The following is a 27,188-nucleotide window of genomic DNA, read 5'->3' on the forward strand; positions in this document are numbered from 1 at the left end:
GCACAGTTGTGCACACCTATAGTCCCAGCTTCTCTGGAGTCCGAAGCAGGAGGATTGCTTGAGCCCAGGAGTTCAAGGCTGCAGTGAGCTAGAATCGTGCTACTGTACTCCAGCATGGGTGACAGAGGGAGATCCTGTCTCTTAAAAAAAATTAACTTCCTGGGACCCAACCTCCAGAGGTGTGGATTCAGGGAGTTGATACTGAGGCCCAGGAAACTATATGTATATATTTTAAGAGCTCTGTAAGGAATTTTAATAGTCAGCCACGTTTGGGAACCACCAGTATGCAACATTTGGGTCCCAGCTGTGCACTTTACACGTGGGTGGCACAAGGAATGTTTGTCTTTTTTGTGTAGTCTATATACAACAGTGAACCTCCACGCCGCACTTTTTATGAGGAGGATCAGTTTTTCATTTCCTGCAGCCCTCACTATCACCAGGGTTAAGGGGCAACATGAGGGCTGACAGCGAAGTCCAGAAAGGAGTCTGCAGGTCGGAACTGCAGGTCAGATGCCCCCACATCCAGCCCGAGGTTTACTACTTAGTGTCTGTATGACCCTGGGCAACTCATTTTCTCTCCCTTCTCATGGTAACACTGGAAATACTGATGTTGAAAGTCCGGAGTAAAGAAAGAGATAGATGAAACTGCTAACCACATGATAGGAAATTTAACAAACCTGGTAGGGGTGGAGTGTCCCAGGGTGGCAGTCACTTGCATGGAAATCTATCCATCAGGCAAAACTTTAAGAGCTACAGACATATGACAATCTATACAGGGGAATTTATGCATTCATTCATTCAATTCATGTTTTCTGAGCATTCCCCATGCGTCAAGTGTAGGAACACAACAGTAAACAAGACCACAATGGCCCTGAAGCGTTAAATGTTGTAGTGAAGGAGACCATCTGGGAAACAACTATCAATATGGTAAGAGCTGCAACAAAGTCATGGCATGGAAGAGCAGGAAATGTTGCTTGTTCCCCATGTGGCCCTCTTGACTGTTATTTGGTTGTCATTTACAGATTGGCAAAATCAACACTGGTCCTCATTCCTTTATTGGGCGTTCATGAGATCCTCTTCTCTTTCATCACTGATGATCAAGTTGAAGGATTTGCAAAACTTATACGACTTTTCATTCAGTTGACACTGAGCTCCTTTCATGTAAGTAGAAATCTGAACCAAAATGCCTTGACTTTGGAGAAAACAAAATGCATGTGGCCGAAACAGGCTCAGAATTAAGGAGCCCGTGGATGAAAATAGAATTGTAGCATCAGCAGCCTTTATCAGTAAGGGCCCTTGGCATTAGAAGGGCATGCAGACGGGGAAGTATTGCGTTGATCCTGCCAGCATGATTCAGTGACTAAGAAGGGGGAAATGGTCTCTTTCCTGGGTGGTAATAGTTGGTGTGACTCATGATCATATTAACTATGAGTGTCAATGTGAAGCCTTTTATTAAGTGCCTATTTTTGCTGGGTTCTCTGCAGAGCATTGTGCAAAGTAAACATTGTCTGTGCTTCAGGTGACATGTACACAGAATGCAACACAAATTGGATAGGGACTAATGAGTTCAGACCAGGAGGCTATTGAACCTTGACAGATGTGTGGGAGTTGAAACTAGGAACAAGAGGCTAGCTGTGGTTGTTACCTGGAAATATTTTGGTCATCTATTGCTTAAATTATTATCTATTTCTTAGTGTCTTAAGATGGCAATTTTTAAAATTATTTTTCATGATTCTGGGAGTTAGGAATCTAGGTAGGACCTAGTAGGGATGGCTAACCTTTGCTTCTGTGATGCCTCCTGGGGCTGGAACTACCAAGATGTCTTCTTCACTCACATGACTGGTGCCTAAGTTGGATGGCTCAAATAGCTGAGGCTAGTCTTATTTGGGTCAAATTTCTGAGGCCTCATTTCTCAGTGTCCATGACATTCCTTAGGCGTTCCATGTGTTTTCTCCTTGTGGTCTCTCCACAGGATAGGGCAGTTCAGGGCTCCCAAGAGTATAAAAGCAGGAGCTGTCAGGCCTTTTTTTTTTTTTTTTTTTTGAGACGGAGTCTCGCTCTGTCGCCCAGGCTGGAGTGCAGTGGCGGGATCTCGGCTCACTGCAAGCTCCGCCTCCCGGGTTCACGCCATTCTCCTGCCTCAGCCTCCCAAGTAGCTGGGACTACAGGCGCCCGCCACTACGCCCGGCTAATTTTTTGTATTTTTAGTAGAGACGGGGTTTCACCGTTTTAGCCGGGATGGTCTCGATCTCCTGACCTCGTGATCCGCCCGCCTCGGCCTCCCAAAGTGCTGGGATTACAGGCGTGAGCCACCGCTCCCCTGCCAGGCCTTTTAAATGCCTATGCCTGGAACTGGCACAGTGATGCTTCTGCTGCATTCTGTCATTTAAAGCAAGTCACAGACCCAGCCTAGATTGAAAGAGTAGGGCACTGCACAAAGGCATGAATGCTGGGAGGGGCAGCTCATTAGTGAAGGCCACTAATGCAACAGATTACCACTAACAGCACAGCAGCGCAGGTCTTCATAGAGTAGTTATCTGAAAATGAATCATCTTTAAATGTTGGTGTGGGGGCAGGACTTCTGAGATGATAAAGAGAGGATCTACAAAAGCTCTCCCCAAAAGGCAATGATAAAATTGGACAATTGTCAATAGCAACCATTTTGGGACCATACACATTAACTAAAAAAAAAAAAAAAAAGAAATGAGAAGGATTCAGTCAAGAAAAATTACTGAAATTCAGTAATAACAGTGGGAGTCTATGTTACTTTTGTCTGGGACTGCTTTTGTTCTCTAATCCCTGCTCCACCAGTGAGGAAATTCTAGTGAAAACTAGCAGCTTCACTGAAGAGGGAGGCTGACTTGATTTGGATCAAAGAGCAGAAAAACTCTCATCCTTGGGCATTGCCAGATACAGTGGCCGTCTTGGTGACAAAGAAACAGGGAAGGACAGTGTTACAGCCTGAAGTTATCATTCTATCTGGGGTGAAAAAACATGCTGATGGGCTAGCCAGAAATTTTACGGGAAGATTTGGGGAATGAGACAGCCACAGTGGGCCTTGACAAGCCCCCACATATTTCTCAGGTTGACTGGAAGGTTGTGTACATGCATAAGGTTGCATACACACTCAAGAAGGACCAGAAAGGACATTCACACATTTCTGGCTGAATGTGAGTTTCTGCACACATACAGAGGAAACATGAGGGGGTCTGGTGGAAAGTAAAAGCCAGGGAAGGCTTCAAACTGAACTTTGAATGTGTTCCCCAAGTGACATATGGATCCATTGGCAAAGGGTATGGAAGTCTTATGGGCTTGAGGTGTTTGAAAACAACTTCTGATCAATCATTGGCTGATTATTAAGCTATTGGAAACAGCATCAGATGACCAGATTTAAAAATAAAAACCAAAATTTTTTAAATGAGCAGAGACATCACTGGCCATATACCACAGCAGAGACAGATTCCACATAACTAGTAGTCCAGACAATTTTCTAAACAAACCACCACCACCACTCCAGGGATGGGGACTGGGGAATCAGAATCCTGAGTTGTTATAATATATTATCTAAAACTTCCAGTTTTTTCCAAAAATATGAGATCTGCAAAGAAACAAAAAAGTGTGACCCATACTCAGGACAAAAAAAAAAAAAAAGCAGTCATTAGAAACTTTCTGGGTGGGATAGGGGATGTCTAGATGTTGGACTTATCAGACAAAGACTTCAAAGCTATTATAAACATGTTCAGAGATTTAAAGAAAAAGTTGTTGAAATAATTAAAGGAATTCAATTATCTCAATTCAATAGAGAACAATTATAAAATAAGAACCAAATGGAAATTCTGGAGTTGAACACTACAATAACTGATATGAAAATTTTATTAGGAAAGCTTAGATTTAAGATTGCAGAATAAATAACCTGTGAGCTTGAAGATAGGTCAATGAGATTACCCAGTCTGTGGAAAAGAAAGAAAAAAGAATGAAGAAAAATAATAGAGCTTCAGAGACCTGTGGAATGCCATCAAGCATACTAACATACACATAGGAGAGTCCCAGAAGGAGAGTAAAGATAGAAATGGTAGAATAAATATTTGGATAAATAATGGTTGAAAATTTTCCAAATTTGAAGAAAAATGTTAATCTACACATCCAGGAAGCTTGATGAACTCCAAAAAGCATAAAACAAAGAAATTCATGCCTGGAAACATTACAGTCAAACAGTTGAAAGCCAAAAATGAAGAGAAAATATTGAAAGCAACAAGAGAAAAATTGTTCATTACATGTAGGGACCAATGATACAATTAACAGCTGACTACTCATCAGAACAATGGAGGCCAGGAGGCAGTGGTATAAAATATTCAGAATGCTGAAAGAAAACAATTGTCAATCAAGAATTCTAAATCCAGCAAAAGTATGTTTCAAGATAAAGGTGAAATAAAGACATTATCATAAAAACAAAGACTGAGAGAAATCATTATTGGCAAACACCCCTTTCAAGAAATATCAAAGGATGTCCTTCATGCTGGAAGAAAACGACAACAGACAGCAACTCAAATCCACATGAAGAAATAAAAAACAGTGGAAAAGGTAGATACACAGGTAAATCTGAAAGGCTATGTGTAGGTTTTTTTTCTCATAACTGATTTTAAAAATACAAGATTGTATAAAATAATAACTATACATTGTATTTTTGGGCTTATAACATATAAAGATCTAATATATATGACAAGAATATCACAGGAGAAGAATGAGTAAATAGAGATATATAGGAGAACATTTTTATATTTTACCAGGCTTAAGTTAGTGTTAATATGAAATAGATTGTGTTAAGATGCATGTTGTAATCCCTGGAATAAACACTAAGAAAATAACTTTAAAAAATGTATTTAAAATACTAGCAAAGGAATTAAAATGGTACACTGGAAAGTATCTGTTTAACATGGAATAATTTCAGCCTCATGGGATTCACAAAATATCCCTATGAAGGATAAATTATTATACCTATTTTAAAGATGAAAGAACTGAGGCTCAGAGGACTTTCACATGCTAACATGTATCAGAGATGAGGTTTTTATTCAGAGGTTAAGCCCCTGCCTGTAACCACTATGCCATAGTGCCTCTCAGGTGCCTTGTGAAGATTAGAACCAGGAGACACCAAGTTCCCTATACCAGTCTTAAAGGTCAAGTGCTGTCTGATATATTGGAGCAATATACCAGACAGGGTCAAGTGCTGAGATTTCGTACACAGAGCAGAGAAAATGTGTCCGCCCACTGCATGCTCACCAAAGGCCGAGGAGCCAGAGCCTGAAGTGTGGTATGAGCAGTTGGACAATATTTTTTTCCCTCCTGTTGGAGTTGAATTCTTTGTGGCTTTGAACCAAGACAGAGGATCCATAAGCAATTTTTTTCCCATTATGAAAACATGTTTATTTCAGTCTTTTAGGGAATTTCAAAAGATAAGGTTTAGTAATTTGGAATTTTTGTGTTCCTGGCCGTAATCTTCTTTAAAAGGTAGTCCTAAATTAGAGGGGGAAAAAAAACTCTGCAGCTGTTATGTAGTAATATTTGGTGGCCTTTTTTCTCCGGAAGGCATGGGTCAGGCAATGTGAGCCCTTGATCACCTGATCTCACTCACCCAAGGCCCGGTAAAGACAAGTAATTCATGTGGAGCTATGTGAGGCAGATTTCTGAGAAAGAATCCTAGACTATCAGACTCTTCTGCCTTGGGAGGATGTGTTGGTCATCTGATTCTGTGTAATAAACCATGCCAAAACTTCATGGCTTAAAATAGTAACCATTTTATTATTATTATTATTATTATTATTATTATTATTATTACCATTATCATTATCATTTTGAGATGGAGTTTTGCTCTTGTTGCCCAGGCTGGAGTGCAATGGTGTTATCTCGGCTCACCGCAACCTCCACCTCCCAGGTTCAAGCCATTCTCCTGCCTCAGCCTCCCGAGTAGCTGGGATTGCAAGCATGAGCCACCACACACGGCCTCATTTTAATATTTTTAATGATTCAGTAGACTGGGCTGCTTGGGCTCAGGGTAGATAGTTCTTTTGATACATGTGATTTTCGGCTGGGGCTGCAAACGTCTGAAGGCCCAATTGGAGTGGCACATCCAAGATGGTTCATTCACATAACTAGACATTGACGCTAGCTGTTGGACAGGACCTCAGCTAAGACTATATAGCTCAGGGGGCCTCAGTTCTCCTCCATGTGGCCTCTCCATGTATCTTGGATATCTCACAGCATGGCGGCTGGACTCTCAGGACCTTCCTCCATCTTACTTCCTCTAAGATGGAGGAAGTAGAAACTTCCAGCCCTCTTAAGTCATAGGCATAGAACTCCCAGAATGTCACTTTTACGACATTGTATCAGTAAAAAAAGGAGTCACAAAGTCATCCTAGATTCGAGGGGAGAGAAAAACTAGGTCCACTTTTTGATGCGAAGAGCAGCCTGAGCCCACAGAAAGTAGAGGAACCATCAAGGCCATCTCTGGAGACTAGCTACCAGCATGGAAGATTTGTTCCTGAAGCCAGCTAGAGCTCTGCTCATCACCCTGTACTGCTGAGGAACGTGAGGAATCAAAGTGACTCTGCAGGGTGTTTTGTACCAGGACTGAGCCAGAAAACACACTTAGAGGGCTTGTGTGTGGGCAGAGGACTCCCACCTTCGGAATACTCCTGCCGTGTTTCTCTGCATCCCACCAGGCAGAGGCAAGAGCACAGGTGGGCAGATGTTGGGGGAACTACACTTGGTGGATCATTTTAGAGACTCCACCATGGGAATTGGCAAGAACAGGCATCAGCCCTAACAGCTTCCTTTCCTTGCTGCTTTGGAGGGTCCTTTACTCTTCCAAGAGCCTACTGCTTAGAGAGTTCCACCAGCCTCCTGCTATCAGTGGAGCTTTGGAGAGACTGCCAAACAGCGGTGACATATGAAGTAAGAGCCATGTGTTCTGTGGGACCCACTCCCTTCACACTTGCTTAATCTAGAATGAGAACCAGACCCTAGGATGTTCCTAAAACTGTGAAGCAAGCACCCGAGGAAGTGAAAAAGACACATTTGTCATGTGGAATCCTATTTTAGCCAACTTGTTTGTGAGAATCCTGGCACCCTAAAAGCCAGCTCTTCTGATATCATGTGCCCAGAGGCAAATATTACCTGTCCCGCCAACCGCATAGGGCAGCTGTGAACCTCTGACCAGATTGCATGTGTGAAAATGATTAAGTGATAACAGTATGCCCCTGTTATGGAAGCTATAGCCATGGAATATCTAGGTGCATAAGAGAAGGAAAATTCCACATTCATGGGCAGAATCCAAGCATTTGGTTGATGTCGTGATTGCCAGTGTGGAGATCCTGGTCTGGCTCCAGAAGGGACATGCTGAACAAGGCTTACATAAGGAAGAGCAGAAAAGCCTTCCCCAGTGCCACATTTCATTATCATCAAGAGATATAAGAGGAGTCAGCCTGCCACTGGGACCTTCACTCTTTAGTTGGAAATGCATCCTTTCCTTGTGAGTTCTGGCATTTTCTATAAACATGCAAGCATTGGGCCCTGCACACACATCCAGTTCCAATATATCAGACACACTGCCCAAATTCCACAGACCCTTACATCAATTAGGGACAGCCAGGACATGTAGGTGATCACAGTGACTATCTGACAAATCAGGATATGTAGGAGCCTGAGAAAGACAATGGAAACAAGCATTAACTGGAGCACCTTAGATTCCAGCCCATTTTGGGCTGAGTATTGTGGCGATGGTCATCCTGGAACATGGGAACCACATGACTGACAGCCCTGCCAGAAGCTCAGAGAGTAGGGAGGGTCAGGGGCCAAAAGGAAAGGATGCAAGTCAGGCAAAGAAAAAAAAAAAAGGACCAGGCACAGTGGCTCATGCCTGTAATCCCTGTACTTTGGGAGCCAAGGCAGGCGGGTCACCTGAGGTCAGGAGTTTGAGACCAGCCTGCCCAACATGGTGAAACCCCGTCTGTACTAAAAATACAAAAAATTAGTCGGGCGTGGTGGCGTCCGCCTGTAATTCCAGCTACTTGGGAGGCTGAGACAGGAGAATGCTTGAACTCGGGAGGCGGAGGTTGCAGTGAGCCGAGGTTGAGCCACTGCACTCTAGCCTGGCGACAAGAGTGAAACTCCATCTCTAACAAACAAACAAATAAACAAACATTAGCCAGTGCCCACTATGACCAAGTAGAGATGCAACAGTGACCTTGCCCAATATTTGTATAATTGAATGAATGACACAAGGTCTTGGGGGTTTAATCATCATTGACCCATGTGCACCTGTGAACAATCTAAGCAAACACCTAGGCTGATATAGGCGGAGCAGGGCGGGCGGGGCGCTGGATGTCAAAGTAAGAACAGATGCCATGGAAATCCAAGTTAATGTAACCAGTATGACTAATTCTAGTTAGTGTAAGCAATGCAGTTGCACGCCTCTTCTGGAGACTCCTTACGACCTGTGCAGGGCTTTGGACGTTGCCAGTAACTCTCAGACACATCTTCTCCGGAGTCAGATTTTATGCCATGTCCTCCTTTTGTTTCAGGGGTTCCTGGTGGCCTTGCAGTATGGTTTTGCCAATGGAGAGGTATGATTTCCACGTTGCCATCCTGGTTTCATGTGAGGTTGGGACTGCAACCCTACCCACCTCTGGAGGTTTCTGTGGATGGGATGATGCTACGGGAGAATGTGCAGTGACCAGCATGTGTGGGGACAAATTTGTATTGTGAGCTTCCGGTACAGAGAGCAGGAGGCAGCTTAGACAAATGGAAAAAAGGTGTCGGGATGGGTATAAGGGAGTTCAGAAGCCAGCACTGGCTCTGCTGGAGATGCAAGGAGTATTCAAATGTGACAGAGGAAACAAGCTTGAACCTCAGAGTCCAAAAATCTGAATTCACGCCTTGGTTCACCCTCAGGAGTTCTGTGAGTTAGCTGGGTCACCGCACTTTGTTTAGCCTCACTTTCCTCATCAGTAACATGGGAGCAACAATCATCCCTGCTTTGTAGTCTTGCTCTGGGTATGCTGAGCACATAGCAAATAAATGCTCAACACCTGGGAACTATGATTACATTTTTTTAAAAATTATTTTTATTTTTTTGAGACAGAGTCTCACTCTGTTGCCCAGGCTGGAATGCAGTGGCATGATACCAGCTCACTGCAACCTCTGCCTCCCAGATTCAAGCGATTCTCATGCCTCAGCCTCCTGAGTAGCTGGGATTACAGGTGCCCACCACCACACTCAGCTAATTTTTATATTTTTAGTAGAGATGGGGTTTCACCATGTTGGCCAGGCTGGTCTCAAACTCCTGATCTCAAGTAATCCACCTGCTTCAGCCTCCCAGAGTGCTGGGATTACAGGCATGAACCATGAAGCCTGGCCTATTATTGCTTTTAGTTATTCATATTATTGCATAGCCCAACCAGCTCTCTGCTTCCCTGGGAAAAGATTTGACAGTGGGAGGGGCAGAGGCCAGAACAGGTGTTTTCTCCTGTCTTTAGGAGTTGGTAGAGTTTCCAACCCCTTTTCAACCTCCTCTCGCCCTACTACAAGTGTAAATATTTATTTCTGTCTCCTCCCATTATGTACTTCCACTTACATAGAATGTACATAGCTCACATTCTATGTAAGCTTCTTGACAGCAAAACCATCTTCTGTTTTGCTCACTGCTGCTTCTTCTGTATCTTCATGCAGGGGGCTCCTCACCTATCAAGCAGGTTTCAGCTCACATGCCACCCCGGCAGAGTCCTTTCCTGAACACCCTGTCTTAAGTTTTTGTTTCTTTACCGTATTGTCCTGCTTAGTACTCTCACAGTGTCATCACCACCAGACATGTTTATGTATCTTTGTTTCTCCTTGTCTCCCCCAGTTAAAAGGTAAATTTCCCAAGGGTGGCACAGAGTAGCTACTCAATTAATATTTGCTAAATGGACACATGGCTAAATGACTCCAAGACAGTAACCTCTCACTTGTCTCACCCGGCAGGTGAAGGCTGAGCTGCGGAAATACTGGGTCCGCTTCTTGCTAGCCCGCCACTCAGGCTGCAGAGCCTGTGTCCTGGGGAAGGACTTCCGGTTCCTAGGAAAATGTCCCAAGAAGCTCTCGGAAGGAGATGGCGCTGAGAAGCTTCGGAAGCTGCAGCCCTCACTTAACAGTGGGCGGCTCCTACATCTAGCCATGCGAGGTCTTGGGGAGCTGGGCGCCCAGCCCCAACAGGACCATGCACGCTGGCCCCGGGGCAGCAGCCTGTCCGAGTGCAGTGAGGGGGATGTCACCATGGCCAACACCATGGAGGAGATTCTGGAAGAGAGTGAGATCTAGGGTGGAGTTCCACCACCCTGGCTCTGCTCCCAGGGACTCTTGAGGGGGCCCAGGAAGAGGAAGCAAAGCAGGACACACGTTGCTGGGCACGGAATCATTCTCGTTCCATTCACCATGCCACTTTGATATGAAAGCTATCACAAGGTTCTTCAAGCTCTGTATGAAAGAGGCTGTGTGTCATGCTCACAGCCTCTGCCTGCTCTTCTCATCCTAATAACCCCCACCAGTGTGTTTTCCACAATGCCCACCAGACCCTAGGGCCTGGCTCTAAATTCAAGCCAATGAAGTCCCACCATGAAGAGAGGTCTCCTGTTATAGAGAAGCCAGCCAATATCTCTTCCTTTATCCCTTGGGGTGCATGCTTTCCATCTGAGGTTGGGTTTAGGGTGCGTGAAAACCTCCTAGGAAGCTTTTAAAATGCAGAATCCTAGACTTGTGGCTAAGATTCTAAGACAGTGAGTCTGGGACCATGGCCAGGAATTGGAGCTGTTTAATAAGCATCCCAGGTAATTCTGCTGCAAGCCCACCCTTGGAGAACACTGGGCAGGGTGAGAGGGAGCTAGAAGCGCCCCCATGTGGCCATGGCAGGATGCTGCAAGAGACAGTCTGCTCTCCCAGGTCAGCTGGGGTGTGCCTGCCCTCCTTGGAGAGTATGTAACTCCACCCACCAGAGTGCCACTCCTCTCTGCTCTTCCTCTCCTATCAAGTCTTGCCTCTCTCTCTCTTTGCCTCAGTTCTCTGTCCCTGCACAGCAGGAGTTCTGCTTGATCCTCCCTTTGAGGATTGGCCCCAGTGCCTGGGGACCCTCTGAATGTCGTCTTTGGTCTGTTCCTCTCCTTTCTGGCTCTATCTACCTTTCTGAGTTTGGCTTCTACCAGCCTGATTTACACTACCATTCTCTTGGGGCAAGGAATGTCCCCACCATTTTTGGTTTGCCATTGATGCATTGATTGTCACACCTGTTGTCCCAGGAAGTTGACCTATAACTCTCCATGGCCAGAGTCCCTGCTGATCAGAATTCAATTTGCCCAGTGGGAATAAATACTGAAAGCAGGAGGGCCCAGGTAAAGCAATAGGAGTTTGGCTGGATCTGGACATGCCCAGGGTGGCTCTGAGAGATCCAAGACTTTGCATCCACCAGCCTGTGGGATCTTTCCTGCCTACTGTGACCCATGGAGGCTGAGGAGGGCCCAGGCAGTTGGGGTCAGGCTCAATGACTGAAAGTATAGGGCAAGAGGCTGTAGGAAGATCAAGGGATGGACATCCTTTGGAAACAGTGTGTTAATGCACAGGAGTGTCACTTTCATGGTATGTAAAATGCATGTGTACGTGGGTGGGGTATGTTGCTATGGGACTAAATACCACCTTGTCTTCGGGGGAGTCAGTTTGATACTCCTCAAGCAGGGCTGCCATATTTAGCAAACAAAAACAAGGTACTCAATTAAATTTGAATTTCAGACAAATAGTCTTCTTGTATAAGTATATCCCATGGGCATATTTAATCTGAGATTGGAATTCAATCATGCATCTTGTCTTTTACTGGCATCTCTGTTTTCAAGGATACTTTGCCACAGGGCTGGGACTAGGGTGAAATAATCAAGGCACTCATCTCTAAAAAGCTCAAAGTAAATGATCAAAATAAATCATATTTTAATGCAATATTCTAAAAAAACAAATTAACAAACTACAGCCCATGAGCCATTTATAGAAATGAAATTTGATTGGAGCCAGGGGCAGGATAAGGGTGAGGCAGGAGAGGCCAGCTCTTGCAAGTGCAGGCTCTGGTCCTGACTTTCAAATGTTGTCTATGAGGGACTTTTAATGTGAATTTTTATTTTTAGACAATTGCATTAAAATGTTATTTATATTGACTATGGGGACTTTTGGGGCCCCCTTAAATTTTGCACTTGAAATGGGATCCCCACTTGTGTCACCCCATAGTCCAGCCCTGGTTTTAGGATGGGGATGGAGGCAAAGGCATCAGGCAAGTAATGAAGCAAAGGTTTATTTTTTGGTGTCCAGATTATCCATAGCTCAGTCATGAAAATCTATGTCTTTCTATTTTTCTCCTTTCTGCAAATGTCCCTGCCTCGGCTCATCAGCCAATTAGCTCCTAGAAAGCTGGGGTCATCTCGTATTCCCAGCAAGTACCCAGCACAGTGCCGGTTCAGAGCAGGTGCTCCACACACATTCCTGGAATGAGACAGCACAGAAATGGCTCTCGGGAGCCTCGGATGCTGCTGGGAGTAAGTGATCCAGGACCTTACCGCTAAGAGGAGAAACTTTTTTTCAAAGCATTTATAAATACTCCCTCCACCCCTCACTCCACAAATGGGGTGATCAACACTTACTGCTTGCTCTTGTTCTGCTAATGATTAAAACAAGTTTATTTAATTTCATTTGCATTTTGTTGATTCTTTTACATTTGTCTCTCACTGGAGCTGAAGGTCTCTCCCACCCATGAAGAATGCGATGCACTATTCCTGGCCAGAAGTGAGGAAAAGGGCTGTGGCGTTTAGCCAGGGACCTGGGTGCTCCAATATCTTAAATTTGGTCTTAGGGACCAGAGGAGTGGGCAGAGGGGCCGGGACCAGAAGCAGAGGTCAGAGGTCAAAAGAATGGAAGGAGAGTGTCTCCCCTTTTATAGACCACCCCATTGGTCACTCAGCTTGCCTGTTGCTTTGAAGATCTAGTCTAGTGGTTCTCAATCCTCGCATTACAATCCCTTGGGAAGCTTTTTATTTATTTTTATTTATATTTATTTATTTGAGACCCAGTCTCACTCTGTTTCCCAGGCTGGAGTGCAGTTGCATGATCTCAACTCACTGCAACCTCCACCTCCCGGGTTCAAGCAATTCTCATGCTTTAGCCTCCCGAGGAGCTGGGTCTACAGGCGTGAGCCACCAGGCCCAGCTAATTTTTTTTGTATTTTTAGTAGAGACGGGGTTTCACCATGTTGGCCAGGCTGGTCTTGAACTCCTGACCTCAGGTGATTGCCTGCCTCGGCCTCCCAGAGTGCTGGGATTACAAGTGTGAGCCACCACGCCCAGCCCCCTGGGAAGCTTTTTTAAAAGACCAGTGACAGGGTCTGACCCCAGAGGTTCTGATTGAAATGGTCTTACTAGACCTGGGCATTGGGATTTTTATAAGTTCCTGAGTGATCTTTTTTAAATTGTGGCAAAATATATATAACATAAAATTAACCATTGTAGCCATCTTTTTTTCTTTTTGTTTTTTGAGACAGAGTCTTGCTCTGTCACCAGGCTGGAGTGCAGTGCTGTGATCTCGGCTCACCGCAACCTCCACCTCCCAGGTTCAGGCAATTCTTCTGCCTCTGCCTCCCGAGTAGCTGGGACTACAGGCGCCTGCCACCACTCCTGGCTAATTTTTGTATTTTTAGTAGAGATGGGGTTTCACCATATTGGTCAGGCTGGTCTCAAACTCCTGACCCCAGGTGATCCACGCGCCTTGGCCTCCCAAAGTGCTGGGATTACAGGCGTGAGCCACCGCGCCCGGCCAGCCATTATTAAGTGTATGGTTCAGTGGCATGAAGTACCTTCTTACTGTTGTGCAGCCGTCACCACCATCCATCTCCAGGACTCTTTCATCTTCCTGAACTGAAACTCTACATCCATTAAACAATAGCCTCCCATTCTTTCCTCCCCAAGCCCCTGACAACTTCTACTTCCTGTCTCTGTGAATTTGCTTATTCTGGATACATCAGCTATAAGTGGAACTGTATAGTATGTATCCTTTTGTGATCAGCTTATTTCACTCCCATAGTGCCCTCAAGGATCATCCACCTTGTAGTGTGTGTCAGAAATTCCTTTTTTAAAATGCTGAATAATATTCCATGCATACCACATTTTGTTTATCTGTTCATCCATTGATGGACACTTGGCTTGTTTCCATGTTTGGCTATTGTGAATAATGCTGCTATTGGTAGGGATGTATAAACATCTGGTTTCTGTTTTAAAAATTTGAGTATACCTACAAGTGGAACTGCTGAATCATATGGTGATTCTATATTTTCCCCAACAGCTGCGCCATTTTATATTCCCACCAGCAATGCATGAGGATTCCAAATGCTCCATGGCCTTTGCCAACATTTATTTTCTATTTTTTTATGATAACCATTCCTAATGGCTGTGAAATGGTATCTCATTGTGGTTTTGATTTGCGTTTCCGGAATGACTAATGATGTCAAGCATCTTTTTATGTGCCTGCTGATTAGTCCTTTGTGAGTCTTCTTTAGAAAAATATCTATTCAATTCTTGGCCCATTTTTCAATTGGATTGTTTGTTTTTTGTTGTTGAGTTGCAGGAATTCTTTATGCATTCTGAATATGGATACCTTATCTATTATTTGCAAATATTTTCTCTCATTCTGTAGATTGTCTTTTTGCCTCTTGATAGTGCCCTTTTATGTAGAAAAGTTTTAAATTTTGTTGAAGTCCAATGTGTCTATTTGTTTTTCTTTTGCTGCCCGTGCTTTGGCATCAACGCCACCTGTGTGACTTTAATATGGGACCAAGGTTGAGAACATTGGAACTGAGGCAGAGGGGAAGGAGGTGAACCCTCCTCTGGAAACTGACAATACCTTGCCGAAGTCCAAATAAACTGAGTCTTTCTCCCATGTAGCATTTAGAGCTCAAATTCTTCCACAAGCACAGACTCAACTGATTCTCACAACTCTTAAGTGACAGGCAATGTAGGTGTGGCTGGCCCAGTTTTATTTTTTAAGGAGTGGTCATCCAGCTGGAGCCTAAGAGCCTGAGACACAGACATTTTTGGGCTTGTCTGATGAGTTTATATAACCATTAAGGGGCAGAAATGGGAGTGAAGTGGACAGCAGTACGGCGGCTGACCCCACTTGGCTCCATGGTCAGAGTCTGAGCCTGGTGAGAGAAGAGAAGCTTCAGACAAAAGCTAGGAGAGCTGTTTCCAGGAGGCAATGACAAAAGCTGTTTCCGTGACACATGCTACTTCCCATGGGGCTGTTCTGATAGACTCTAACCTAGAAGGCTCCTCAGCAGATCAGCACACAGCTTGGGTACATTAGGAGCACTGTGGCCTCGCCTGTGATTAGGAACGTAGTACTTGAGGGCAGCAATGGCACCTGGCACTAAGGGATCTATGGGTGAATCTGTGTGGGACACCTCCTGGAGATGCTAAAAATGCCCAAGAGACACTGCACAAGGGGCTGGGATCTTATGTGGGCAGGTGGCAACAGAAGCTCAGGCAGTTTGGATTATTGCTCTTAATGAGACCCATTTCTGCCCTTGAATTTACATGTACTTGAGGAGTCAGGGATCTAGAGACAGGAAATGACTTCCCCAAGGTCTCTATAGTAGACATCTATTTTTAGAATCTGCCCTTCTTATAGTACCCCAATTTTCCTCTTGGAAAAACCACTCATCTCCTACTGTCAGTCCACGGAACTTGAGTTGTCCTGACTCTATCCTCAGTTCAAGGATGGGCATAAAAATCTGCTGGCCAAGCAGAGCAGTACATCCTTCTGGCATCAGATATTGAGTCAGGCATGGGCATATAACTAACCAGAGACAGTGAGATGCAATCCTGACACTTTGGCTGGGACTCTTAAGAGAAAGCATTTTCTCTTTTCTGCTGAAATTGGAACCATGAAGAAGGCAGCCTGGATCTGCTGGTGACCGTCCTGCCAGCATGGGAAGAACCTGTCTGAGAATGGTGGTGACAGCAGAAACCAGAACCAGGAGAGGGAGAAATGAACTCTGGGACATTGTTGGAGCCCCTGGATTAAGCCATACCTGAAGCTAGCCCTACTCCTAGAATTTCAGCTATAAGAGCCAAGCAATTTCTATTTGTGCCACAATAATTTGTGCCAGGTCATCTACCTTTTGCATCTGGAAGAGTCTTGATGACATAGCTCATCACTATCTCCACCTCCTCTTCCCTGTGGCCAAGTTGAACTTCATGCTTTATTTTCCACAAAGTGTCATACAGCTGTAGAGAATCTCAGCCCAAGTGGTCCTTCCACCCTAAGCTAAAAAAAGAGGCACTAATTAGGTTTTCACTCTTTGGCTCTCCCATTGAACCACAAACCAGCAAGGACCTAATTATGCAGTGTCTGTCCTTTTAGACTCAAGTGACAATGATAGACTGACCTCAGAGAGAAGTGAAAAGCCCCCAGCCTCATCCTCGAAGCAACCAGATTCATTCATGGAGTGTGGTGGAAAGAGCATTGAGCCCTTTGGTTATATTCCTAGAACACTCTGGACTGGACCCACAGAGTCTTTTATCTCCCACTGAACTGGCTTCTATATAGCCCACTATGTCTACATGGGAGAATGCCTTGGGTAGATGATTCTAGTAATAATCCTTCTCCTCCCAGAACCTCTGGACTCATGCCTTGTAGCCTCCTTCCCCTTTCCATCTCTGACATTGTGCAATCCTAGAGTTCTCTATCCTGCTGTGTCCAGGTCAAAACTATTGGAGAAATCTGGTGTAATCAAAGGGACTCCAGTTTAAGTACCAACTCCTACTCACACTTCCTGCCCTCAGTATCCTCATCTGTATTGTGCAGATAATAACATCTCCATCAATGAAATAATGATGGCAGAGTCTAGCATGGTGCACGGTTCATAAGTGTTTATTCTCACGTTTGCTCTCCACACAGAGGAGTGCTCTTTGGCAGTGGTGATTGTGTCATCTCTGTGGCTAAAGTGGGGTCTGGAGGCATCACCACAATACCAGCAACTAGAGACTCCTCAGCCTCAAGAGGTTGCAGACAGGTCAGTCAAGAATCCAGGGTATCCATGCATTTTTCTGACCTCATCTTGGAACTTGAGGCTGGAGAATAAATGGGCCTTCAAAGCAACAAATCCAGGGATCTTGGAGAATGCACTGATGGAGTTCCTGGGTATCCCAGGCCCTGGAGCTTTGAGGAGGCAGTTGGGGGCCGGTGGGTAGCCCTTGCCTGACCTCTGCTCATCAGCTGGCTGCCCTTGGGCAAGCTGCTTCCTGTCATTGGGACTCCTTTTCCTTGTCTCTAAAACAAGGGGCTTTAGGGCCATCTATGGCTCTGCCTTCACCTCATACTATATTGAAGCTGAATTCATCATTGTTCCCTGAAACCCCAAAGACTCTCTGTATTTCTCATCTCCATAGATGGCATTGCTATTCACCCACTGCCCAAGCTACAGGCCTGGCTGCCATTCCTGCCCTCTCTCCTCCTGCCCCCTCAGCCAGCCAGGTGGATGCTACCTCCTAAATGTGTCCTCACTGGATCTGGTCCTCTCCATCCCATTGCCTTTCCCCTGGCCCAGGCCATCTGAGTGGCTGCAAAAGCTTATTCATCGGGCTCCCTGACTCCAGGGAGCCCCCAGTTGCTCCTCTCTGACTTATTTTAGCCTGCTGGGGACTTCTCTTACAAACATAAACCCCTCCTACTTCCAACTCCACAGTGGCACCGCTGTCCCCATGGTGAGCCCCCAAGTGCTTACCACAGGCTGCAGGGAGGGCTTTGCGTGGTCCAGCCCCCGCCTACCTTTTAGATTCAGCTCACACTTTGCTCTCCCTCCTCCTTCTACCCTCCAGCCACCCCGACCTTCTCCTGGAACTCGAGATGGTCATTCATGCCTCAGCGGCTCTGTGTTGGCCGCCTTCTGTTTGAGACTTCCCCACCCCGACCCCGTCCCCCGCCTCGTGTGCAGTGGTTCTGAATTTAAATCTCCCTTCGTCAGGGATGTGGTCCCTGATCCCCCCTGACAAGTCAGCCCCTTCCACTGTGTCCTCCCCTGGTGCTCTGCACGTTTCCATGGTAACCTGGGCCACTGGTCATGGCTCCTTCCAGGTTCATTGTCCCCTCTGGACCATGAGCTCCATGACAGCAGGACCGCATTAGACTCATTCCGCACCAAAGCAGCCCAGCCTAGGGCTGCCATCGCAACACAGCCTTGTCTTTGAGGTGTGACTGATAGAAATCATTTCCTTTTCCAGTTGAAGGATGACCAGCAGCCACGTGCCCAGCTCAGCTTGCGTTTATTGGAAACTGCTTACCCAGCACTCCACAAAGGAGCTTACAGCGGGGTGACACTTAGGACTCCTATGGCCTAATCCTGGGATTAGCACAGGGCCATGGGCTGGTGGACAGAGGGAGGGGTGGGACCGGGCATGATGGGAGGGAATGCTGAAGACCCAGGAAGAAGGAACCAGTGGGTCACTACAGATGCTTCAGTTTGGCAGGGAGCTGTGCTGTGGGCTTGTGTGCAGGCCTTTCTCTTGGCCCTGGGGTGGATGTGTGTGTGTGTGTGTGCGCGCGCGTGTGTGTGCATGTGTGTGTGTGTGCACAGGCGCTCACGGGTGTCATGTGAGTGGTAGGTGGAGGGAGGACAGCTGAACAGTTGGCATCAGGCGTTCTTCATCTTTTCCTTCACTTTTTGAGGCTCAAACTGGATCAGTCGCAGAATTTCCTTATTGGCCAGTGTCCCCTCAATGAATTCTTTCTCTGTAAGTTTATCTGTGCATTGGGAAAAAATATATACGTACATAAAACAGTCAGGATTGATAGCCAAGTGAGCTGCGATGAGGCTGACATCTAGCCAGTATCCCCAGTGTGAATGTATCTATTATAAGAATATTGAATACTCAGTGGCCCTGAGTATTCAATATTCCCCCACCCCAGTCCAGATACCCACCTCCTTTCCCATGACCCTTGGAGCTCCCTGCAGACCAGCAAAGAGCGGTGAATGACTGGCACTGGGGGGGCCCCCAAGATGCCAGTCTTGTGCTATGTGTCTCTTCCGATTGGCCGGTGCCCCTGCCTTGCTGGTTATTAAATACTTCAATAATTAATAACTATTAATTGTTATTCTATTTTCTATAGTAGCTCAAGTTTCAAGGATCAAGTTCAGGAGGAGCTTCTGGGGGTCTGAGCATAGCAAAACAATCTGGATGTCAGGCCCAGAGTCTCAGCTGAGAAGCAGGGAACAACATCCCTCCAGAAATAGGAGTGAGAAGTGAAGGGCCCAATGAGATCATGCCAGGGGGAGTGTGGCTTGCAGAGAGGTCTCTTTGGCACCTGCAGCACACAGGCAGCCCCATGATTCCTGGCTGACAACTCCGCCATGATCCCTTCCTATGCATCCATCCCTGCGTCCCCCAGTCTCATCTGCCTCCTTATTTGGGATCAGGACTGAGAGACAGCCTTGTTGCGCCCACACCTGGTTTTCCGGTGTTTTTAATCAGGTGGCTAACTGTATTCAGATCAGTCCAGTTAAATGCATGGTCCTGAGCCCAGATGCCACTGTGCTTGGAGCCAAGGCCACCACAGGGAGCGGAGGCGGGGTGTACAATAGAAGAGAGTGAGATGAAGTCCCTCCCTGGGAAACTGTTGACCTGGCGGGGAAGGCAGTCACACGCAGAAATACCTCTAGCATGAGACAGATGCTCCTTTCTGTTGTATGTTCACAGTGCCTAGCACAGAGTCGGTGCTCAACAAAGCTTTGCTGAACTGAATGTGATTTCTGACTTATGCTCTGGGCCTTTTGGATACCTTTAATCCCTTCTGGGTTAGGATCCAGGATGGCTTCCTCCGCAAGTCTGGGTGGTAAAATTTGGGTTTTAACATCCCAGCCACCCCACAGAGAGCTCACAGAGAGCTTGAAACTCCCACCATCAAAGCCTGACTCTGCCCTGAGGCATTGTCTCCAGATGGGCCGCGTGGAAACACGTACAACACATCACGAACAGGAGTAACACGTCGACCTCGGGGCTTCTGACGTCATCCCCTCCCGGGATGTTCACCAGGGAGGTTTTCAGATGAGCAAAAAGCAGAACACAGGGCTCGACACATGAACGGACCCAGAGGGAGGTCGCGAAGCCAGTTAAGGAGCCAGTGGGGCAAAGTGCCAAAAGAAGGCATCTTGGTAGCCAGTGTCTGTGCAAGGAGGAGAGAGTGCTCAAAGGTGAGGGGCCAATCCGGGCCGATGAGGGAAAGGTGGGTAAAGTACCAAGGCGCGAATTTAAGGAGGCGCTCACTTTCAGGTCCTGTGAGTGCATTGTTGACCCCTGAGAACGAGCGCCTCCTTAAATTCTGTGTCCTATGTTCCTCCTACCCCAATGACCTTCATGCTTCTCTTATTTCATCATTTGTTGGCAGATTAGGAGGAGCAGGGTCATCTCTCTCTGCCCTTATTTAGCATCCTGCTCAGCTTTTTCTTCTTGAACCTTGGCAGAAGACTGCCTCCAGAGGTCACCAAAGGGGTTAATACAGGACCCTTGGATGTGTTTGGGCCATGCTGTGTTTTATCAGTTGAGACACACTGGATTTTTAAAGTCTTCATGGCTGGCTTCTCTTAAAAAAAAATCAGATGATGTCTCAACCACGGGTTCCATAGCCCCACATGGAATATGCTGGAAGCCATCAGACCAGAGGTGCACCCTCTGCTGTTTGCCAATCCCCACTGCTTGTAGATGACTGTCCACATAACTCGTTTTCATCATTCCTGCCCCTCCAGCCATATGTGTTTGCAGCCCCAGCCTAATACCAGCTCCTTTACCGCATCCTTGTGCTGGCCGTAAGCATCACAGACACACAGCCCCAGCAGCCGAGTGCTGGAGTCCATCACTGCCTACAGTGCAGGATCACACTTCCTGGGGGCTGCTTCCAGCCACTGACTGACAGGGCAGGGGCACCAAGACTGACAGGGGCACTGAGGACACCCCATCGACTCTGTCAACACTTCCTCAGACTGCACTGCAGTCTCGGGCATTACTTACCTAATCTTCCTTTCTTTCCTAACCTTCCTTTCTTTCCTAACCTTCCTTTCTTTCCCTCTCTCCCTGCCAGGGGTCAGATCTGCTTGGCAGTCTGATAGCTTTCCCAGCCTCCTCTCGATCCCAGCCTGTTTTCCTTCTTCAGCCTTTCCTCCCATAAATCTCTTGCAATCTCATTTAAATCTAATCCTATCTTGGTGGTGTTTCTCAGAGGACCCAAACCAACTTCCCAAAGTAAAACCATAGAAATACAGATCCCACTGACTTGGGACTCGATATTAATTCAAAGCTAGGGTGAGCTGAAGTTTGCTCTTGTTCTAATTGCACAGAAAACAGTTTTGGCTCCTGCTCACCCTTAAGGCCATTCCCCTGTCCAACCCTTCAAACAGCTCTGAAAATGCACAATGGAATGAGGTGTCCCCCATCCTGCCTGGACACTGTGACTCAGAAGAATAAATCTTGTTGGGATTTCCAGGAAACAGCCCATGGTTGAAAAATCAAAGGCAATGAAGGAAAAGGAATTCACCATCATCATTCTTTCCAAAGTACTTCCAGATCTTCTCGGCTCGCTTTTCCGGCGTGTTTTCATCGTCTGGAAGGAGCTTCACGTCCTCGGGAGTGATCATTTTGAAAATAGCCTGTACCAAACAGAAAGAAAGAACTCGTTAGGAGGAACTTTAAGGGGCTGGCAACCCTGGAAAATCCACATCTTACACTGTACACAAAAATCTACTCAAAATGGATTAAAGACTTAAACATAAGACCTCAGACCGTCAAACTGCTGGAGGAAAACGTAGGGGAAAAGCTTCTTGGCACTGGTCTTGACGATAATTTTTTGGATATGACACCAAAAGCAAAGGCAACATAAACCAGAATAAACAAGCAGGATAGCATCACACTAAAGAGCTTCTCCATGTCAGAGGAAACAATGAACAAAATCAAAATGTAACTTATGGAATGGGAGAAAACATTCGCAAACCATTTGCGTTCTGCCTCCCCGGAGACACCTGTGAGCAGGTCAGGCAGGGGCAATAATGGCTGTGAAATTATCCTGGAGGGAAGGTCGACAGCTTTGAGAAGTTTCCCTTCAGCCCCCTGGTGCTGGATAAAGGAGTAAAGAGGCCAAAGCCACAGCCCAGGGCAGCAGCGTCGCTGGCAGCACTCAAAGCCCTGAGCTGGACGCCAGTGTAGGTGGCTCCTACACTCCTATCCATCTGTGCAGGGCCTTGGGCACCATGTGCAGGTGTGCCAGCTAGAAGCTGGCAGTGAGTGCCTGCCCACCCCACTTCCAACACGGAGGGACAGACCTCCAGAGCCTCAGGAAAGACTGCAAAAATAATCAAATCCTCACCCTGGGCCCAGGAAGGTTATATGGTTTTCCCACAGCAACACTGCTAGTTGGAGTCAGAGCTGGGACTAGAACCCTTCACTTTTAACTCCCTCAGTCAGTGCTCTGCCCATGAACTTGTAATCTGGTGAATAGCAGAGCCTTCTGCCACCTTGCACAGCCCCAGCCATTGATGGAGTCTCCCTCCCTCCCTTTCCTTTCTTCTTTCTTCCTTTCTCTCCTCCTTTCCTTCTCCTCCCTCCCTTCCTTCTCTCCTTCCCCTTGCTTCCCCCTCTTTCCTTCCTGACTCCTACCTTCCCTCTCTCCCTCCCTCATTTCCCCCTCCTCCCTTTCCTCCTCCTTTTATTCAATGAGTATCAATTTGTAGGCTTCTGCTGGGCCCTGCATTGTTTATGCCACTCTGAAGACTTAGTCCCTGTCCCAGGCCACCCAGAGACCCCACAGCCAATCCGAGGGAGCTTTCTCTGCAGGCTGTGCCAAGATAACAATGAGAGAGACACATGCCTGCCAGAATGGGAGGCCCGAGCTGAGCATTGAGGATAAGCCCATGGACCACAAGCTGCATGCTCTGCTGTTTTATTTATGATTTCTCCTAATAACTGTGGAAGATTTTTGTGCATTTGTCATCATGCAAATGAAAGCATGATTGCCAATGCACACAAAGTTATTAACATCTAAACAATAGTCTCTACTAACAGGAATGGAATTAGAAGAATAAGGTAAGTGGCAGGGGCAGGGGGACTGAAAAAGAATAAATTAAAAAAAAATCAAATGAAGGAAATTAGAACTGGTATAATAGGAAAGAAATGGAAACAACCTAATGTCCAAAAACATAGGAATGTTCAATAATTTCCACATTTCCATAAGCCAGAATTCCAAGCAGCTATTAAAAGAGTTTTGGAAGAGGTTGGGTGCGGAAGCTCACGCCTGTAATCCCAGCACTTTGGGAGGCCGAGGCGGGCAGATCACCTGAGGTCAGGAGTTCGAGACCAGCCTGGCCAACATGGTGAAACCCCGTCTCTACTAAAATACAAAAATTAGCTGGGCAGGTGCCTGTAATCCCAGCTACTCGTGAGGCTGAGGCAGGAGAATTGCTCAAACCCAGGAGGGGGAGGTTGCAGTGAGCTGAGATCACGCCACTGCACTCCAGCCTGGGCGACAAGAGCAAAACTCTGTCTGAAGAAAAAAAAAAAGTGTTTTGGAAGAATATGTAATGATATGGAAAGCACTCATGATAAAAGAGTAACTGAAAAATGTATGATAAAAAATCGTATGTGAATATGTCATAGCTTTAACATTATTTAAAATTATATAGGTAAAAGACTGAAAAGGTATATACTGATATACTAAGAAAAGTTTTCCCTGGATGTTGGAATTAGAGGCAATTGTTAGTCTCTTTTGCCTAGGTTTCTAAATTTCATGAGTTACTTTTATATCAGATAAACCATTTTCAAGACACCTACGAGGTTAGTGGAAAAGTAATTATGGTTTTTGCCATTACTTTCACAACAAAGGATCTGACAGGAGGACAGTATGGACAGGGGAGAAGGCGTGTTGGGAACCATATGGAAGCCTGTGCGCCTCACAGGGAAACTGTCAGGAGCCGGGGAGCCACGCCGCGCGTGGGAAGCGGGGGCTCATGCGTGGTGCCATGATCCGCCCCGCGCTGGGGAGAACATGAGGACTAGAACTCAGAGTTCATGCCCCCAACTTTGACCTCTTTCTACTTTATATTAGAAGCATATTGTGTGTTTAGAATGAACAGTGATTCAACTTGAATGTGTACTGCTGAAAATTTCAAAGGACATTTTAATAAAGGAAGGAAGAAACAAAGGATGGAGAGAAAGAAAAAATGTAAATATAGTCACGTGTCGCTCAGAGACAGGAATACATTCCGAGAAACACATCTTAAGGCAACTTCTATGTGGGAACATCATAGAGCATCCTTGCACGAACACAGATGGTAGAGCCGACTACATCCCTGAGCTCCATGGTCCAGCCTTTTGCTCCTAGGCTACAAACCTGTGCAGCACGTGACTGTCCTGAATGTTGCAGGCAGTTGTCACACGATGGTAAGTATTTGTGCATCTAAACATAGCTAAACATAGAAATCATGCAGTAAAAATACAGTATAAAGATAAAAAATGGGCCGGGCACAGTGGCTCATGCCTGTAAATCCCAGCACTTTGGGAGGCTGAGGCTGGCGGATCGCTGGAGGTCGGGAGTTTGAGACCAGCCTGACCAACATGGTGAAACCCCGTCTCTACTAAAAATACAAAAATTAGCTAGGCATAGTGGTGCACACCTGTAATCCCAGCTACTCGGGAGGCTGAGACAGGAGAATTGCTTGAACTCGGGAGGCAGAGGTTGCAGTGAGCCAAGATCGCACTATTGCACTCCAGCTCTGGGCTACAGAGTGAGACTCCATCTCAAAAAAATAAAAAATAAAAAACCAAGATACAAAATGGTAGACCTGTCTAGGGCACTCACCATGAGTGGAGCTTGCAGGACTGGGAGTTGCTCTGGGTGAGTCAGTGAGTGAGTAGTGAGTGAATGTGAAGAACTAGGACATTACCGTACACAACTACAGACTTTACGGATACACTTAGGCTACACTAAATGCATTTGAAAAATAAAGTAACTGTGCTATGACGTCACTAGGCAGTAGGAATTTTTCAGCTCCATTACAATCTTATGGGACCACAGTGGTCTATATCGTCCGTTGTTGACCCAAACATCGTGAAGCCAAGCATAACATGGCTGTATTAGGAAACACTCAGATTCTGCTCCGGGAAGACAACGAAGCTGTGGGCAAGTGCCCACCCCTCTATCAATATCAGCATCTCGGAGCACCACGCTCTCAGAGCCAGTGGCCCGCATCCCCCGCTCCACCCACAGATCCACTCCCTCTGCAGCAGCTGCAGCAGGGGACCCCCAGCCCGGAGCGACCCCGGCACCGCCCAGCCAGAAGGGGAGAGGGGAGACTGACCATGACGATCTCCAGCACTTCATTCTTGCTGATGGTCCCGTTACCGTCCACGTCGTAGAGGGAGAAGGCCCACTCCAGCTTCTGGTTGGTCTTGCCCGCGGTGGTCATGTGCAGGGCGATGACGTACTCCTTGAAGTCCAGGGTGCCGTCGAGGTTGGAATCGAAGCTGCGGAACACATGCTGGGCGTAGGCCTTGGGGTCGGTGTCGGGGAAGAACTTGGCGTAGATGCTCTGGAACTGCTGCTGGGTGATGCGGCCGGTGGGACAGTCCTTCAGGAAGGACTGGTACCAGGAGCACAGCTCCTCCTCCGAGAACTTGGTGTTCAGCTGCAGCTCCTCCAGGATCTCCTTGGACAGGGCCCCACTTTTGCTGTTCCCCATGAGTGAGGAAGAGTGGGCAGCGGCTGGGGAGTCGCTGGGTGGGTGGGACGTGCGTGGTCCCCTGGCCGCAGGCTGGGCTCAAGGCTGGTGTGAGCTGAAGACCGAGATGCTGGTGGCTTAGGAGGATTTGCGACCAGTTCTTCGCAATCCTTGAAGGGAGGAGGGGCCCAGGAGCTTTGTGGAGGGCGGGAGCGGTGGGGGGGGGTGCTCCCAGAACCCTAGTGAGATTAAAATAAAGAGCCCAGGGCAGGCAGGCAATTCATCTCGGCCTCCCGGGACGATACTAGAACAGGACAGGAGGTTGGAACCCTCAGAGCTGGGGCCTCCGGCACCCCCAGCCCCAGCCCTCTAACAGCAGCCATGTTCCCTGTTTCTCTTCCTCACTAACTCTGAGCATCTCGGGGCGGGGCTGGCATCTCATATCAAGCCCTAGAATGCAATGGTTAGGAGCACAGACTCTGGGGCCAGCATGGGTTCAAGTCCCAGCTTGGCTACTTAACTAGCTGTGTGGCCCCAGGCTTGTTTCTTCACCTCTTTCCACCTGGGACACTCTTCTAAACCTTCACTGCAGTCATGTCTCTGCTTAAATGTCACCTGCTCAGCCAGGCCTATACTGACCCTCTATCTATAATAGCACAACCCCCACCATCATCGGCACGCTGCATGTCCCCTCACCGGAATGAAAGCTCCGTGAAGGATGGGATTTTGTCTGTGTTGTTCCCGGATGCATTTCCATTGCCAGAACCTGATAGGCTTGGGCCCCCAGCAAGTCTTTCTTGAATAAATGGGCATCATAGCATCTACCACACTGTCATTGTGAGGCTGATGTGAGTCAATATGTCTGACACACTTAGAAACTGGCACATGGCTAATGCTAAACACTCGTTTTGTTATTGTCCATCAGTCACAGGGAGTGAAGGTGAACTGCCTGAAGGGACCAGCAGGGGGCAGCCAGGCCTGTGTCACCTCGGGAAGGGGCTGCCAGAGAACGTGGTCACATGGGATGGTGAGATTTTTGGGTTTTTTTAAATTATTCAAGAGAAATCCAAAAATCAGAATTTTTCTTGCAATTTCCACACTTTTCAACTTTGGCAATTAATTCAAAATTTTAATGGTGGCTCACGTCTGTAATCCCAGCACTTTGGGAGACTGAGTGGGGAGATTACAAGGTTAGGAGTTCGAGACCAGCCTGGCCAACATGGTGAAACCCTGTCTCTACTAAAAATACAAAAAATTAGCCGGGCATGGTGGCAGGTGACTGTAATCCCAGCTACTTGGGAGGCTGAGGCTGGAGAATCGCTTGAACCCGGGAGGCAGAGGTTGCAGTGAGCCGAGATTGCACCATTGCACTCCAGCCTGGGTG

General features: G+C 46.8%; 2 protein-coding genes across 6 annotated transcripts in view, besides 1 other annotated feature; one reads left to right on the forward strand and one right to left on the reverse strand.

The window, feature by feature from the left end:
* Positions 1-12,744, forward strand: part of GLP2R (glucagon like peptide 2 receptor) — a 66,176-nt gene extending 53,432 nt beyond the window's left edge. For all 5 annotated transcript variants that reach the window (XM_011524077.4, XM_017025339.2, NM_004246.3 and 2 more), the window contains 3 exons: positions 1,023-1,161; positions 8,577-8,618; positions 10,015-12,744. In XM_011524077.4, coding sequence (XP_011522379.1) covers positions 1,023-1,161; positions 8,577-8,618; positions 10,015-10,350 — 517 coding nt within the window. In that variant the 3' untranslated portion in view covers positions 10,351-12,744. The remainder of the gene's footprint in view (positions 1-1,022; positions 1,162-8,576; positions 8,619-10,014) is intronic.
* Positions 12,745-16,964: 4,220 nt separating this feature from the next.
* RCVRN (recoverin) lies at positions 16,965-25,916 on the reverse strand. The gene is made up of 3 exons (NM_002903.3): positions 25,445-25,916; positions 21,634-21,745; positions 16,965-18,849 (listed from the first exon to the last, which is right to left on the reverse strand). The coding sequence occupies exons 1-3, from the start codon at positions 25,823-25,825 to the stop codon at positions 18,740-18,742; spliced, it is 603 nt and encodes a 200-aa protein (NP_002894.1). The 5' UTR covers positions 25,826-25,916; the 3' UTR covers positions 16,965-18,739.
* Positions 19,693-20,194: an enhancer, noted in NCBI's record as "H3K4me1 hESC enhancer chr17:9802365-9802866 (GRCh37/hg19 assembly coordinates)". NCBI's record gives its function as "activates a minimal SCP1, AML or CMV promoter by ChIP-STARR-seq in primed H9 embryonic stem cells {active_cell/tissue: H9 hESC(primed)}" and the evidence as "EXISTENCE:reporter gene assay evidence [ECO:0000049][PMID:30033119]".
* Positions 25,917-27,188: the final 1,272 nt, after the last annotated feature.

Source organism: Homo sapiens, chromosome 17, assembly GCF_000001405.40.
Source record: "Homo sapiens chromosome 17, GRCh38.p14 Primary Assembly".
NCBI lineage: Eukaryota > Metazoa > Chordata > Mammalia > Primates > Hominidae > Homo > Homo sapiens.